The 14,602-nt window shown below is 46.8% G+C and overlaps 1 protein-coding gene across 7 annotated transcripts in view, besides 5 other annotated features; it reads left to right on the plus strand.

The window, feature by feature from the left end:
• Positions 6,524 to 7,253: a silencer, noted in NCBI's record as "silent region_16644". NCBI's record gives its function as "represses an Ori minimal core promoter by ATAC-STARR-seq in GM12878 lymphoblastoid cells {active_cell/tissue: GM12878}" and the evidence as "EXISTENCE:reporter gene assay evidence [ECO:0000049][PMID:35858748]".
• The window catches only part of SFXN1 (sideroflexin 1), a 51,183-nt gene continuing 43,459 nt past the window's right edge, over positions 6,879 to 14,602 (plus strand). For 4 of the 7 annotated variants that reach the window (NM_022754.7, NM_001322980.2, NM_001322978.2 and 1 more), the window contains exon 1: positions 6,879 to 6,958. The gene's annotated coding sequence lies outside the window, so the exon portion shown is untranslated. Of the gene's footprint in view, positions 6,987 to 14,602 lie in introns of all 7 variants that reach the window. The other 3 variants (NM_001322977.2, NM_001322981.2, NM_001322982.2) reach the window with 1 other exon arrangement.
• Positions 7,261 to 7,856: an enhancer, noted in NCBI's record as "OCT4-H3K27ac hESC enhancer chr5:174905945-174906540 (GRCh37/hg19 assembly coordinates)". NCBI's record gives its function as "activates a minimal SCP1, AML or CMV promoter by ChIP-STARR-seq in naive H9 embryonic stem cells {active_cell/tissue: H9 hESC(naive)}" and the evidence as "EXISTENCE:reporter gene assay evidence [ECO:0000049][PMID:30033119]".
• Positions 7,364 to 7,523: an enhancer, noted in NCBI's record as "active region_23677". NCBI's record gives its function as "activates an Ori minimal core promoter by ATAC-STARR-seq in GM12878 lymphoblastoid cells {active_cell/tissue: GM12878}" and the evidence as "EXISTENCE:reporter gene assay evidence [ECO:0000049][PMID:35858748]".
• Positions 7,534 to 7,623: an enhancer, noted in NCBI's record as "active region_23678". NCBI's record gives its function as "activates an Ori minimal core promoter by ATAC-STARR-seq in GM12878 lymphoblastoid cells {active_cell/tissue: GM12878}" and the evidence as "EXISTENCE:reporter gene assay evidence [ECO:0000049][PMID:35858748]".
• Positions 12,857 to 13,430: an enhancer, noted in NCBI's record as "H3K4me1 hESC enhancer chr5:174911541-174912114 (GRCh37/hg19 assembly coordinates)". NCBI's record gives its function as "activates a minimal SCP1, AML or CMV promoter by ChIP-STARR-seq in primed H9 embryonic stem cells {active_cell/tissue: H9 hESC(primed)}" and the evidence as "EXISTENCE:reporter gene assay evidence [ECO:0000049][PMID:30033119]".

The following is a 14,602-nucleotide window of genomic DNA, read 5'->3' on the forward strand; positions in this document are numbered from 1 at the left end:
GGGTACCCTGACTGAGAAAGGGCAGGAGGGAACTTCTGTGTCTGAGTGGGAGGCAGGCGTCATTGGCCTCTACAGGAAAGGTCTGATGCTGCCTGGCATGTGACCTCAGCTCAGCCAATCAGATGCTCCTGCCCAGAGAGGGGAGACTCCATTCTGGTAGTGGCTGCAGCAACCAGTTTCAGGAGAGGAGTGACTTTCGTTCAGTGTTCAGGGGTGGAGACCACAGAGTCCTCACCACAATGGTTCCGTGGCATAATCTGGGCTGTGACAGTAACTGCAGGCACCTTTCAAGGAGATGAGAATATAGCAGGGGATAAAGAAGACAGGATTCCTGCCCTTATGGTAGAAAATTCTAGCTGAAAACATAGAGAAGAAACAAATCAAAAATAAGTAAACAAGGTAATTTTTTGTTTAGTTTGTTTTTGGTTTTGTTTTGAGAAATAATCTTGCTCTATTGCCCAGGGTGGAGTATAGTAGCATGATCTCAGCACACTGCAGCCTCAACCTCCCAGGCTCAAGCGATCCTCCCACCTCAGCCTCCCAACTAGCTGGGACAAGTGTGCCACACCATGCTCAGCTAATTTTTTAATTTTTTGTGGAGATAGGGTTTTACTATGTTGCCCAGGCCAGTCTTGAACTCCTGGTCTCAAATGATCCTCCCACCTCAGCCTCCCAAAGTGCTGGGATTACAGACGTGAGCCACCATGCCTGGCCTAAAGGAGGTAATTCTGAATAGTGACAGTATGACAAAAGAAATAAACAAGCAATGAGCTCCAGTGTGAGTGAGAGGGGCTACTCCAGACAGGTGACCAGGGAAGGTACCTCTGAGGAAATGACATTTGACCTGAGAGCATTCCAGGCAGAGGGAACAGCATATGCAAAGGCCCTGTGGTAGGTAAAGCTGCCCTGTTGAGCCAGCATTACCATGAGCATGGGGAGCAGTGGTATATGGTAAAACTGGAAAACTGGAACAGGACAGATCATGAGGGTCCATAGGCCACAGTAAAGAGTTCAAATTTTATCATAAGTATAACTGGAAGCTGCTGATGATTTAAAAGCAGAGAGAGCATGATTTTATTTACCTTTCCAAGAGATCAGGGACTGAACAGTTAGAGGCAAGAGTAGAAATGGAGATGTAAAATCAGGGGTAGAGTAGTGTGACGGTTGCTTTTATGTGCCAACCTGGCTAGTCTATAGAGTGAATTAATCAAACACCGATCTAGGTGTTGCTGTGAAGGAGTTTTGTAGATGTGGTTGACATCTACAACTAACTGACTTTAAACAAAAAAGATTACCCTCAATAATGTGGGTGGACCTCATTCAATTGGTTGAAGGCCCTAAGAGGAAAACCTGATTTTCCCAGTGAAGTTCAGCCTCAAAACTACAGCATCAACTCTTGCCTGAGTTTCCAGCCTGCTGACCTGCGCTAGAGATTTCAGACTTGCCAATCACCACAATTATGTGAGCCAATTTCTTAAAATAAATCATGCTAGACAAATAGATGGAGAGAGAGAGATGGATGGAGATATAGTATATATAGAGAGATATAGATATAGATACAGTTTATTGGTCCATTTCTCTAGAGAAGCCTGACCGATATAAGTAGTTAACCCCTCAGGGTTCCAGTGAAGACGAGAGAAGATATTTGTGCAAGTGGTTAGGGTATGTATTGCCTGCCCCACTCACAGTGGACACTCAGTTACTGGCATTCCTCTCCCTCCCTTCTGTAAGGCTCTGCTGAGTTTCTGGACCCAAAATCTCCAGGTCTTCCCTCACCTGAGAAAAAAACACACTGCATCCAATGTGCATGAGTGGGTAGTGCAAAAAGATTTTCTTCGACAGGTCAGGTAGAAGCTGACACACCTGCTCCATGAAATGTTCTACAGCCATTCAAACAAGAAAGGGCACCTTCCCCTAGGTCTTCCCTGACCTGGCTCCCTGTCACCCCCACACCCCCTTCTTTATTTCCTTATAGGACTTACTACCTTCTAACATGCTATATATTCTACACTTTTTTTTTTTTGAGACAGAGTTTCGCTCTTGTTGCCCAGGCTGGAGTACAATGGTGCGATCTCAGCTCACCACAACCTCCGCCTCCCAGGTTCAAGCAATTCTCCTGCCTCAGCCTCCCAAGTAGCTGGGATTACAGGCATGCACCACCATACCTGGTTAATACTGTATTTTTAGTAAAGACAGGGTTTCTCCGTGTTGGTCAGGCTGGTCTCAAACTCCCAACTTCATGTGATCTGCCCGCCTTGGCCTCCCGAAGTGCTGGGATTACAGGTGTGATCCACCATGCCCGGCCTTATATATTCTACTTATTCATTGTGTTTATTGTCTGTCTTCATTTCCTACACAATCAACTGCATGAGGGCAAGGGGCTACATGTGTTCCATTCACCGTAGACTCCTTAGCACTTAGAATAATGACTAATGTAGAATCAGCCACTGTTCAATAAGCATTTAGTGAATAAAAAGCATAAAAGAATGAATAATGAAGATTATGATGTGACTTGAGAACATGTTTATAAAATATAACTTTGAGTGAAGAAAGCAAAACATAAAACACATGGACCAGGATTCTCACCACATATTTAACAAACAAATACAGCATTCACTGGATGTCCTGCTAGACACCAGGGACAGAAAGTTGAAGGACAGAGTTTCTTGTTTGAAAGAGTTCATGGGCTAGAGAGAAGACAGGACTGTAAAACTATGCAGAGAGAGTTTATGAAGTGCTGCAGGAGCCATGAAGCTGGAACTCTAAGAAAAACAGCTCTCAATTAACAAGGCTCACCATTGACCAGGCACCCTGCTCATCTCTGCACATATGTAATCTCAGGTAACGGTCACGATGGCCCCAGGTAAGTGTTAGTCTTACCCCATTTAGACATAAACCAATGCACAGCAAGATCAAGGAACTAATTTGTGTAGGGTCTAACACCCGATCCAGGCAGAGGTGGAATCAGAACCCAGGCGGACCCGTCTGCAGATCCTGTGTGCTTAAGCACTGTGCCACTTGCTTCTGGGTTTCTGCATACAGAGAGCTGAAACTCAAGCATGGGATGAACAGAAGTTTGATGGGTCAGAAAAGGAATGAAAATATTGGAAGGGAATACACTAAAAATCTAGCAGGGAGATTTCTGGGGAGTAGCATTGAGTGTACACTTGTACTTTTCTGTACTTTTCAAATTCATTTGATTACGTATTTCTTTTATAATCAAAAACAACGTGGCGGCCGGGTGCAGTGGCTCACACCTGTATTCCTAGCACTTTGGGAGGCCAAGGAGGGCGGATCACAAGGTCAAGAGACTGAGACCATCCTGGCCAACATGGTGAAACCCCGTCTCTACTAAAAATACAAAAATTAGCTGGGCATGGTGGCGTGCAACTGTAGTCCCAGCTACTCAGGAGGCTGAGGCAGAAGAATCACTTGAACCAGCGAATCAGAGGTTGCAGTGAGCCAAGATCGCACCACTGCACTCCAGCCTGGTGACAGAGTGCAGCCTGATGAGGCTCTGGGAAAAAAAAAAAGGCTAATATCATCTGGAATTTAAAGTTTTCATTAAAGAGTTCATTTAAACAAACAACAAAAAATATGGTTCTCATTGGATTACCTGTCCTGTCCTGATGAAAACTTCACTTTGTGATACATTCAGCAAGATCTTTCCTTGGCTCCCTGAACTTTTGCTATGCTCAGAAATGCTCCCAACCTTTGCTGATTTAAGCATTGTTTTGTTTTTGCTGTTCCCTGAATGGTCAAAGTCCATATTAAAATGCAAGGGTTTTGCAACTTTTGTTGATGCAAGCCTAGCAAGAATTCCCAAGCATTCGTTTTCTGAATCAAAGAGAAATGTCATTTCAGCTTTATGGAAGCTGTTTCTGAAATGGTTGTAATTGAAACAATGACTGGAAATCATACAAACCCTTGCTTTCCACTTTTAATTCCCTCTCATTTTTCTTCCTTCATCCATCTGCTTTTCCCACTTTTTCAAATTTGGTCGCACTAGCTCAGATGTCACCACCTCTATGAACATCTCCTCTCCTGTTAGTCAGGGATGGAAATTCAACTCACAAGAGCTTAAGATTTTAAAAAGAAGGAAAAAGGAAAAGGAAGGGAAAAGAAAAGAGTTGGGGTGGGGGATGGGGGTTATTGACTCCCATAGCTGGAAGCCCAGGAGGTAGACCAGGAGGCAGATCTAGCCTCGGGCTTGGCTGAGTGTAGGGCCTGACATGATGTCATCTGACTTCTGTCTCTCTCACATCTTTTAGCCTGGCTTCACCTCCACAGCTCTAGCAGCCCTTAATCCACATTCTCTTAGATTAGCTGTCTCAATATATGTGTGTGGTGGGGAAGGGAGGCGGGGAGGAGAGGTTACTTCTCTTCCCCAGTGCCTACATATAAATTCAGGGCAGAATTCTGTTTGGCCCAGCTTGGGCCATGTACCCATGACTGTGGCAGGCAGGAGGAGATCAAGTACCATGATTGATAATCAGACAAGATCAAATGAAATGTGGCAGGGGAATTCCCCAAGAGAAACTGAGATGCTGGAAAGACAAAAACTACATGTGACAGAATTTTTGAAGAAAAAAAAAATCCACAATTCTCCACGAGTCTATATGTCTACACCTGCTTACCACGTTTCTTGGCAGCTCCTCTCAGCAAAAGATAAAGTCTATTTCACCCTGAATAGGGGCTGGCCTTGTTGACCTGCTTTGACCAATAGGATGCCTTGGAAATGAAGGTTTGCCAGTTTCAAGCCTTGGCCTCAAGAGGCCTTGAGTGCATCAACTCTCTCCTTTCTCTGCCTTTGCCATGTGAACATTTCCAGGCCAGCCTGCTGGAGGAATGAGACATGGAGCGGAGCCATCCCTACCCAGTTATCCCAGCTGAGGCCCCAGACACATATGAGAGAGCACTGCCAAGATCAGCAATGCCACTGATGGCCCAAAGGTGACCATAGACACATGAGCAAGCTCTGCAGAGCCCAGCTCAGGTCAGCAGAACCTCCCAGCCAACCCATACACTCAAGAAAAAAACTAAATGTTTACTGTTGCATAGTCCCAAGGTTTTGCAGTTGTCTTATAGCATTACTGTGGCAACAGACAACTGACACATTTGTATCTACTAAACCTCTCCACATGCCCATTCTGCAGGCAACTAGTCAATCCCTTCTGTGTGTTCTCATGGCACTTAGTTATACAATATATTCCACATTCTACTGTTGCAAGTTTTCTATTGAATTGTTACCATTTATTTCAAACAAGTATTTACATGTCTATCTCCTTGCTCACAAGCTCTTTGGAGAAACTGGTTTTGTTCTGTTTTTTTAATAATTGTTAGTTTTCTTTTGTGTGTGTGAGAGAGACAGAGACAGGGTCTCACTCTATCACCTAGGTTGGAGTGCAGTGGCACAATCTCAGCCGACTGCAACCTCCACATCCCAGGCTCCAGCAATCCTGCTACCTCAGCCTCCTGAGTAGCTGGGACCATACGCCACCATGCCCAGGTAATTTTTTGTATTTCTGGTAGAGATGGGGTTTTACCATGTTGTCCAGGCTTAAACTTCTTAGCTCAGGTGATCCACCCACTCCGGCCTCCCAAAGTGCTAAGATTATAGGCATGAGCCACAGTGCCCAGCCAAGAAGGGGCGATCTTTTATATATCTTTTTGAGCCCAGCACTTGGCACAGGGTATGGTACAGAGAAAAAGCTAGTTAAACATTCATAGGAATTTGGAGGATGAGGAATAGCACTCAAAATATCTGTGACATATTGCTTAAGTTTTAGAAGTTTTGTTTTTCACGTTTGGATCATTAATCCACCTGGAGTTGAGTTTCATGTATTATACAAGTAGGGATTTGGCTATCCCAGTACTGTTTAATGAATATCTAACCTTTGTCCCCTGACCTGTGATGCCAACTCACAGCAGGTTTCTACATGTGCAGGTTTCTACATGGATGGCAACTCTATTTGGCTCCGCGAGGCTCTTTGTTGACCCCGGAGCAAACACACCACCTTTGTTATTTACCATTGTTTTATAACAAGTTTTGTATCTGCAGGACAAGTCACTCTGCCTTGCTCTTTTCTTAAAAGCTTGTTTGGCTGTTTCTGGCTCTTTATTTTTTTCATGTACATTTTGCAGTCCGCTTGTGCAGTTATAACACACACTCCACCAAGCACACTAGTGTTGTCGAATTTTTTTTTATTGTCATAGGTCATTTGGGAGAGAATTTACATCTTTAAAAATGGAATCTTCCTATGCAATTTATGATGTAATTCACCATTTATTAGATTTCATTTGCCCTTTAAATATGCCCAGGTTACCCACCTGGTCCAAAATACCATGATTCCTCTCCTGGATAACCACAGCATCTGGCTAAACAGCCTCTCTGCCTCCACATCCCCTCCCACGCAGTCTGTTCTCCATAAAGAAGACAGAGTGCGCCGTTGTTGTTGTTGTTGTTTAAGACATAAATCAGGTCGTGGCACTAAAGTCCTAAAATCGCCTTGTAGCGCCAGTCTTGCCAAGCTCCACACTTTAATTGGGTAAATGACTGCGTGAACGGATGCTGGCTACGCCAAGGCCCTGGGAATAAAGAAATGATAAAGAAGCAGTCCCTTAAGGGAAACCCAAATGGAACATAGTGGCCCCAGCCCGCGCAGAGCCCCACACCACCGTGAGGATGGGCTTGGAGTTCCTCTTGGACCCGGGGCGCGGTCGCTAAGCCAGAAGCGGAGTCGCGGGCGCGGGGCGGGGCCTGGACCCGGGCCTGGACCCGGAGGGCGGGTCCCTGGGCCTCGTAGCTCCCGGGCCCGGACGCGCGCTCACAGGCGCGCGCGAGGACGCGCTCCGGGGACGCGCGAGGACGCCGTGGCGGGAGAAGCGTTTCCGGTGGCGGCGGAGGCTGCACTGAGCGGGACCTGCGAGCAGCGCGGGCGGCAGCCCGGGGGAAGCGGTGAGTCGCGGGCGGCAGGCCCAGCCAGGTGGGTGGGGAAACGCGCAGGGGGCCCGGCGGAGGCGCGCAGGCTTGGGCAGGCTCGGGCCGTGCACCCGCGGGCCGGCTGCGGGGAGACCCCGGGCTCGGAGGTCGGAAGCCCCTTTGCGGGCCGGGGATGCCTCGGGCCGGGGGGGGGGTCCCTGCACCTGGGGATCCCTGGCATCCTGCGGCCGGACAACACCACGCTTCCAGCATCCCGAGGCCCAGCATCCCGTGGGCCTCGTCCCCGGTGGGAAGGGCCCTCCGCCGCGTCCCCGCGCGCCTGGCCGCGCTGTCTTCGGCGCCTGCGTGGCGAACTCGCTCCGGGGACACCAAGATGGCTGCCTCGGGGGCAGCGGCAGCCAGGTGGCCCAGTGCCTGGCCCAGCGCTCCGCGCTCTCGGCTTTGCCTCCTGGTGCTGGGGGTCGGAGGGGAGACCACCTGGTTCCTGCCCTAGAACTCGCAATCCAGTAGGGAGGTGATGTGCAAGGAAGTAGATTCTTGGAGTAGTAGTTGGTCCTACAGGGACCTTGCATTTTCACGCTTTTCTCCTGAACTTTCACGTCTGTCACAGGTCTCTAACCTGCCCAGAATGACAATAAACAGTCTACTAAGTGCGTGCCAGGTGACTTAGGTCCATATACTTTTACACTCTTCCGGCCCTGCGAGGTACTGGGTGTTGGCTCTATAATCCACATGAGAAAACTGGGGCTCTGAGAGGTTGAGTGCCCAAGGTCACACAGCTGGCCATCCATAGTCCAAGGCCATCTGAGTCTCAGTCGTAAATACTGCGTTCTCAAAGACGCTTTTCCTTGGCTATGCTGTCTAAAATTGCACCCCCCATCCCCCCACACACCCTTTGTAACACAAACTCTGGGTTTTTTCTCTTTAGTGTCTTTTGTCACTAGTTGAAATTAAAGGTGTTTACATGTTTTCTTCTCCTCATGTGAACAGGGCCTATTTTGTGTTGCTCAGCCTATCTATCCCCTGCGCATAACAATTGCCTGCACCAAGAAGGCCCTCAATGAGTATTTGTTGACTGCCTGAACGAAAAAGCCTAGCTCTGCTTCACTCCAGAGCCTGGGCACTTAGCTGCTCCGTAGGCAACTCTTTTCTGCGCCCCCATAGCTTTTTCCCTGCACATTTCTCACAGTCCTAGTCCCTCTTCTGCGTTGACTTCTAGATTTTGACTTGGGTGCCTTTGGATTCTCCCTTCTTTGTCCATCCCCCTTTTACTGATCTGCTTCAGTGTTCTAGGCATTGTTATAGGTGCCCAGGGAGGATGCAGGTAAATGAGGAGGCTTTGCAGCTCCTACAGCTTCAGACTTGATATAAAAGATGAGAGGGAACTGTTTGGGAGGATGAATGGGGTGGCTACCAAGAAGTTCTGGGACCTCAAGCAGATCCTTTCTCTCCTCAGCACTGAGCAGGTGTCTCACTTTCAAAAATACAGTGTTTGGGCCAGGCGCGGTGGCTCACGCCTGTAATCCCAGCACTTTGGGTGGCCGAGGCGGGCGGATCACGAGGTCAGGAGATCAAGACCATCCTGGCTAAGCCGGTGAAACCCCGTCTCTACTAAAAATACAAAAAATTAGCTGGGCGTGGTTGCGGGCGCCTGTAGTCCCAGCTACTCGGGAGGCTGAGGCAGGAGAATGGCCTGAACCCGGGAGGCGGAGCTTGCAGTGAGCCGAGATCGCGCCACTGCACTCCAGCCTGGGCGACAGAGCAAGACTCCGTCTTAAAAAAAAAAAAATACAGTGTTTGGCAGGGAGGAGCTATCAGCTCCCATCTCAGCTTAGTACGTATTCAGAGGTTAGATTGAGGCTTTCAGGCCACATGGATGTTCAGAAAAGGGATGATATCTGTGGTTACAGTTGTCAGAGAGGACCCTATATGGCAAAGGGTGTCATAATTCAGGATCAGTGAAGTGTTTAGCTGTTCTTAATTTTCTGTAAAAGTTCTATGAAACCCCATGGGGATGGATACAGAAAGGCACCAACTGGCAGGGAATATCCCTTCCTGCTCCTCACTTCCTGCAGAGAAAGCTGAGAGGACAGCCTGGACAGCAAAGGTGGTAAGAGCAGACCCGTCATCAAACGTTGTTGTTCTGGAAGACTTACGTTGAAGTCAGGCATCTGTATCCTGTTGTGTAGCAGTGGTGAGCTGCATTCAGTTAGAGTAGAACCATGAGTGTGACCAATTTTTCCTTTGTGGTTAAAGGTAAGAAATCAAAAGTAGTGAATCCATTTTTTAAAAAGGGGGGAACAAAGGGCTGTTGTCCAGAAAGTGAAAAGTCATTAAATTAGACCATGTGTCAAACCTGCACTTAATTACACAAAGTTCAAAGTTACTAAGTTTTTCTTTAGCAGCTGTTAATTTGTAAAATAGTTTTATAGACTTTGGTATATGGCATCTCCGAGTTGATTCTTATACATGGATGGTAAAACTTCATCCAAATATGTCTAAAATTCTAGTTTAGTGTTGTTCATTTTTTGCAGGCTGATATCACCATCTCAAATAGAAATCAGAAGATTTTTTTTTAACTGTAATAACATCACCCATCCTAAGATACTGCTTAAGAAATCCATGCCCATAGTTGATCTTGAGGACTGGAATATGAGCAATGGTTGTAATGTTACATCCGTGTTTTTGTTTTTTGTTGTTGTTTGTTTGGTTTTTGAGATGGAGTCTCGCTCTGTTGCCCAGGCTGGAGTGCAGTGGCACGATCTCAGCTCACTGCAACCTCTGCCTCCCGGGTTCAAGTGATTCTCCTGCCTCAACCTCCCAAGTAGCTGGGATTGCAGGTGCGTGCCACCATGCGCCTGTTGTATTTTTAGTAGAGACGGGGTTTCACCACGTTAGCCAGGATGGTCTCGATCTCCTGACCTCATGATCCGCCCACCTCAGCCTCCCAAAGTGCTGGGATTACAGGTGTGAGCCACCGCGCCTGGCACATGGGTGTTTTAAAGTTAGTAGAATAGTGGGATCTGCATGGGAGGGGAGAACATGGCAGTGGGAAAGGCAGGAGGCCTTGATTCTCCATGTCTTCCTGATGCTAGGCAGGCCCAACGTCTCCATGCAGAACTATCCTGGAACAGGGAAGCATATGCAACACAAATCCATTGCTGAGTGGAAATAGAATGAATCTAATGCTTTGCACAGAATTCAACTCTCTGATCTATAATTCGATCTCCTGTGTGGCCATGCCCATAAAAAAGGCCACTATATGCAGATGACCAGCCCAACAGAAATCAGGGAATTTGGTTTTTAGGCTCCTTGAGTTAGTGTGATTGTCCTTGGCAGACACATCTTCTCTGGCCTCCAAGGGTCAGAATTGAGTTTCAAAGTCAGACAGAACTGTGAAGGCTGTGTCATCTTGGGCATGGTACTAAATTTCTCCGAGCGGCTCTATAAAACAGGGGAAAAGATCTTGGAGGGCTGTCATAAGGAGTTAGCAATCTAACAATGCATGGAAAGCCTAGTGTCTGGGTGTTCCGTCATGTCCCCTGGACAGTGGACAGCAGTGACTGACCGGCTGTCTCACACCTGCCTGGCCCTAGTGAAACAAACTGGGCAATCAGACCCTTTCATAACTCTTTCAAAATACGGTAGTTTTGACCAACAGCTTTCCAGCTTAATAACGCAGTTATCATTGGTACTCTTTAGCCAAGATTAAAGGTCTTTGTACTAATTCCTCATAAAGCACATTCCCTGCTAACTTGTTTTCTACAAAATTTTGGAAAATTCTTTTTTTCTCCAGCAGTTAAGCATTTTCTTAGCATGCAGCTAAAAATTTGAAATAAAATTTATCTTGGAGATAAATTCTTTTTCTTACATGTTTCTGATGATCTTCAGGAAGCTCAGGAGCCATTCCTGGCCCCAGGAGCTGCATTTATGCACGGGACTGTGGCCAGTGAGGACAGGAGCTTCCACTCGTGGAAAACCAGCTTGTTAATAATGATCCCACTTTTGTTTGGTAACTTAATAAAGATTAATAAAGGCCTCTTATACTCTTCAGTTTGCTGATCCTACCAACTCTATGAGCCAACTCTTACCTGTGTTTTATAGATGACAGAATTGAGGCTCAGAGGTGTAAAGTAATTCACCCAGTCACATGTCTAGAAAGGAAATGATAGAATCAGGACTGAAATCTAGATTATATTTGCTTAAATCCGGTTCTCATTCCATAGGTTATCAGGGTAGATGCTCGGGAAATTACACCACAGGGCGGGGGGCCTCCATCAGCAAAAACCAGCCAGAAAAAAACAGCTGTGTGTTCGGTCTTTCCAAACCCAGGACCAAGCCAGTGTTGAGTACATAAGAGGCCTTCAGTGGATATGGAAGGCGTAAGTTAATTTTGTTGGTGAATGAATAAATAAAAAGACTTTGAGAAATCTATTGGGATGAGGCTCCATGAAACTATATTTACTCAAAACCTTAGTTAAAAGATTGAATTTAAACAGTTTTTAATTTCTCTATGAAATTATTTCCGTCTCTTTTTAGGGGTAAAATAATTTTTCAACATATATCATCTCTAAAATAATCTGTTCACTCAAATGCAGTATAATGTCATAATTATTAACAGTTCCAGGTAGCCGACATCATTGTGAGAATGTCTTTATGTGATAAAACCTCAAAGTCATTTTTCTTCTTAGCATAAGTGGCATCAGCCAACCACAGAATTTTTTTAAGTCCCACTTTTTTCTCATACCCCACCAAAATTTCTTAATACCGTTAAAATCCAAAAATTTCTTTAAAATCATTCATGAAAAAGATTCTTAGAATTAACACCTCAGTTGTCCGAGCACCAGGAAGCCACATTACAGCTAGTGCAATACACAGAGACCGTCTGTCACCAATCATTTTCTTCTAGCGCGTCTGTTCTAGCCCCTTTCTCTTCCCTCCACACCCCATTGCACCATTTCTTCAGCTCGTGAAAACTGAGCTTGCTGGACATGAGAAACCTGCCAGTGTGCCGCTGTGTAAACCATAACATTTTGCTGCTGCCTTTCTGCAGTCCTGAAGCCAGCTAATAACTGCTCAGTAAGCGCCTCTTCCACAGCTTCCCTAGGTCCCTCTGTGTCTCTGGTGGACTGGGGCCTGCTCCCCTGTCTCCTAGCCTCTCTGAGTGCCTGAAGGCACCACCCCAGCGCTTCTGCATAACTCTCAAAGCCTCAGGTGAACAGGGCAAAGAGAGCACCCTCCCCACTGACTGTCTCCGCACTCTCCCTGGCATCTTTCACTTGCTTCAGGTGCCGTGAAGCTGATGAACCCACACACTCTGGAACACATTCTTTGGCGTCCCGTGTAGTGTGTCCCTCTGAGGGACATTCTTCATGATCCTTGCCGCATCTGCAGTGGGAACGCAAACATCTTGTTCTCCAAAACTTTCTTTTGAAGTATCTGTGGTTTCATGATTATTCCTGTTCCCAGTGTCAGCACAAGGCTGTGCAGCATGACTTCCTCCAGCGCAGTCTGCAGAAATCCGGAGTCGAGAAGCCTCTGTCCTAGCACTGTCCCTATCCTAGGTCATGAAAGACTGTGATTGATGTTCAAGACACCTCTGTAACGAGATGTTTGATCTTTACCCAGTTTCAACCTTCCAGACAAGCCCAGGGGCCATAATTTGCCAGATGGATGGCTGCATAAGCCAGACCATGGAAAAACAAAGGCCATTCCTGCACAATCACCCCCACCCCATGACCTCGTTCCCTCCCCACGATGGTGCCCGCAGCAGTCCCGCCCCACAACCCGGCCCTCCTGACCCGTCAGTACCAGGTGTGCGGGGCACATGCCCTCAGCGCATCTCTGCCTTGCCCGGGGCCAGCAGGTGCACGCCGGAATGCTGCGGACCAACCAAGTGGCCCGGCCAGCCCTGACCCCTGCGGGTGGAAAAGGGTGCACCCTGGGGATCCCCACATAGCGGCCAAGGCCTTAAGGATACCAGCATCTCGCTCCCTGAATAGACTCTAGACACAAAATGGAGCCAGCACAGGGCGCGTCTCGGCGCATCCTCCTCAGCCCAGGCCCCGTGCGTAAGGAGCGCTCCGTGTCAGCGCGCTTGCTAGACCCCATTGATTTTTAGAGACGGGTTTTACTATGTTGCCCAGTGTGGTCTCCAACCTCCTAGGTTCAAGCAGTCCTTCCACCTCAGTCTCCCAAGTAGCCAGGATTACAGGTGCGCACCACCACGCTCAGTGCTGTTGACTTTAATGTGAATAGGAAATAAGTTTTGATGTTTGTTTGTTTTTTAAGTGGGGCTCCTGTTTTTTAAAAATGGATCAATTTACCTGGAGTGCAGGCTGCTCCTGAGCTTGAAGGTGGAAGTCAGTTCATGCGTGAAAGAAGTCTTGCCTAATTGAAACATGGCATCACGGTTAATAATTAAAATGTTATCTGATTTGAGATCAGCTGTTTTTGTGAGAATGCTAATGTGGCATTCCTGATTAGTCTGTATGTTTGTTTGTTTGATTTTTAATTCTGGGTGCAGAGGAACACAGATTATCAAATCCAGTTGGTATTTCTTATGCCACTATAGTACAACTTGAAATCCCTTTTAAGTAGAGGAAACAGTGTTGTATTCATTTCCTATTGCTGTTATAACAAATTACTACATATTTGAGTAGCTTAAAGCAACACAGATATATTATCTTAGAGTTCTGGAGGTCAGAAGTCTAGAACAAGTGGGCCTTCCTTCTGGAGGCTCTAGGGCAGAGCCCCTTTCCCTGCCCTTTCCAGCTGCTAGGGGCTGCAGCTCACAGCCCAGCATCACTCCAACCTCTGCTTGTTCCCACATCTGTTTCTCTGGCTCTGCCTCTTCTGCCTCCTTCCATCTCTTATAGGGAGCCTTGTGATGACATTGGGCCAACCAAATATTCCAGGATCATGCCTGCATCTCTCAAGATCCTTAACTTAATCATATCAGCAAAGTCCCTGCACCATGTGAGGTAACATATTCACAGTAGTAGGTGCTCAATAAATAGATACTAAAGATAGCAGCATTTTTTATTAGACCTTCTCACAGCTTCTGGGGATTAGAATGAGACATCTTTGGCAGCCATTGTTCTCCCCATCATGGGTAACATGCAGTGGGCGCTTCCAGTGCCAGGATTTCGGTGGGTTTAACTGGAGTGTGCAGATAAGTAGTTGGCGTCAAGAACTCCTGCTGCTTCCCTTGCTGGAAAGATGGGGTGGCTTTGAATGACATCCCAGAATCTGATTCTTCCGTCTGCGGAATGTGCATAGGATGTCTGAATCACACTATTGTCGTGAGAAATGAGGTAGAATATTCTCTGATGTGGCAAGCTTAGGCCAGCATCTAGCCCAATTCCTTGTATATAATGGAAATTCTTAAGATGTTAGGGTTCCCCTCTCCCTCTCTCTCCTTTTTCCTCGCCTACAAAGGAAGACATCTTTTGTGAGGCCTCCACAGCATTCTTGATCACTTGTACTTAGAGTAACCTTAAGGTTATTGTAGTATAGAACTTCATAGTGTAAAGGTCAAGTTTTTATTTAAAGGAAAAAAGTGGGGGGGCCTCCAAGATATCATTTCTCTGCAGACATTAATTGGTGTCATACTTCAAGAAAAATGGCTAGAAAAGAGTGGTGAGTGGAAAGCTGGCC

Source organism: Homo sapiens, chromosome 5 (assembly GCF_000001405.40).
Source record: "Homo sapiens chromosome 5, GRCh38.p14 Primary Assembly".
Lineage (NCBI taxonomy): Eukaryota > Metazoa > Chordata > Mammalia > Primates > Hominidae > Homo > Homo sapiens.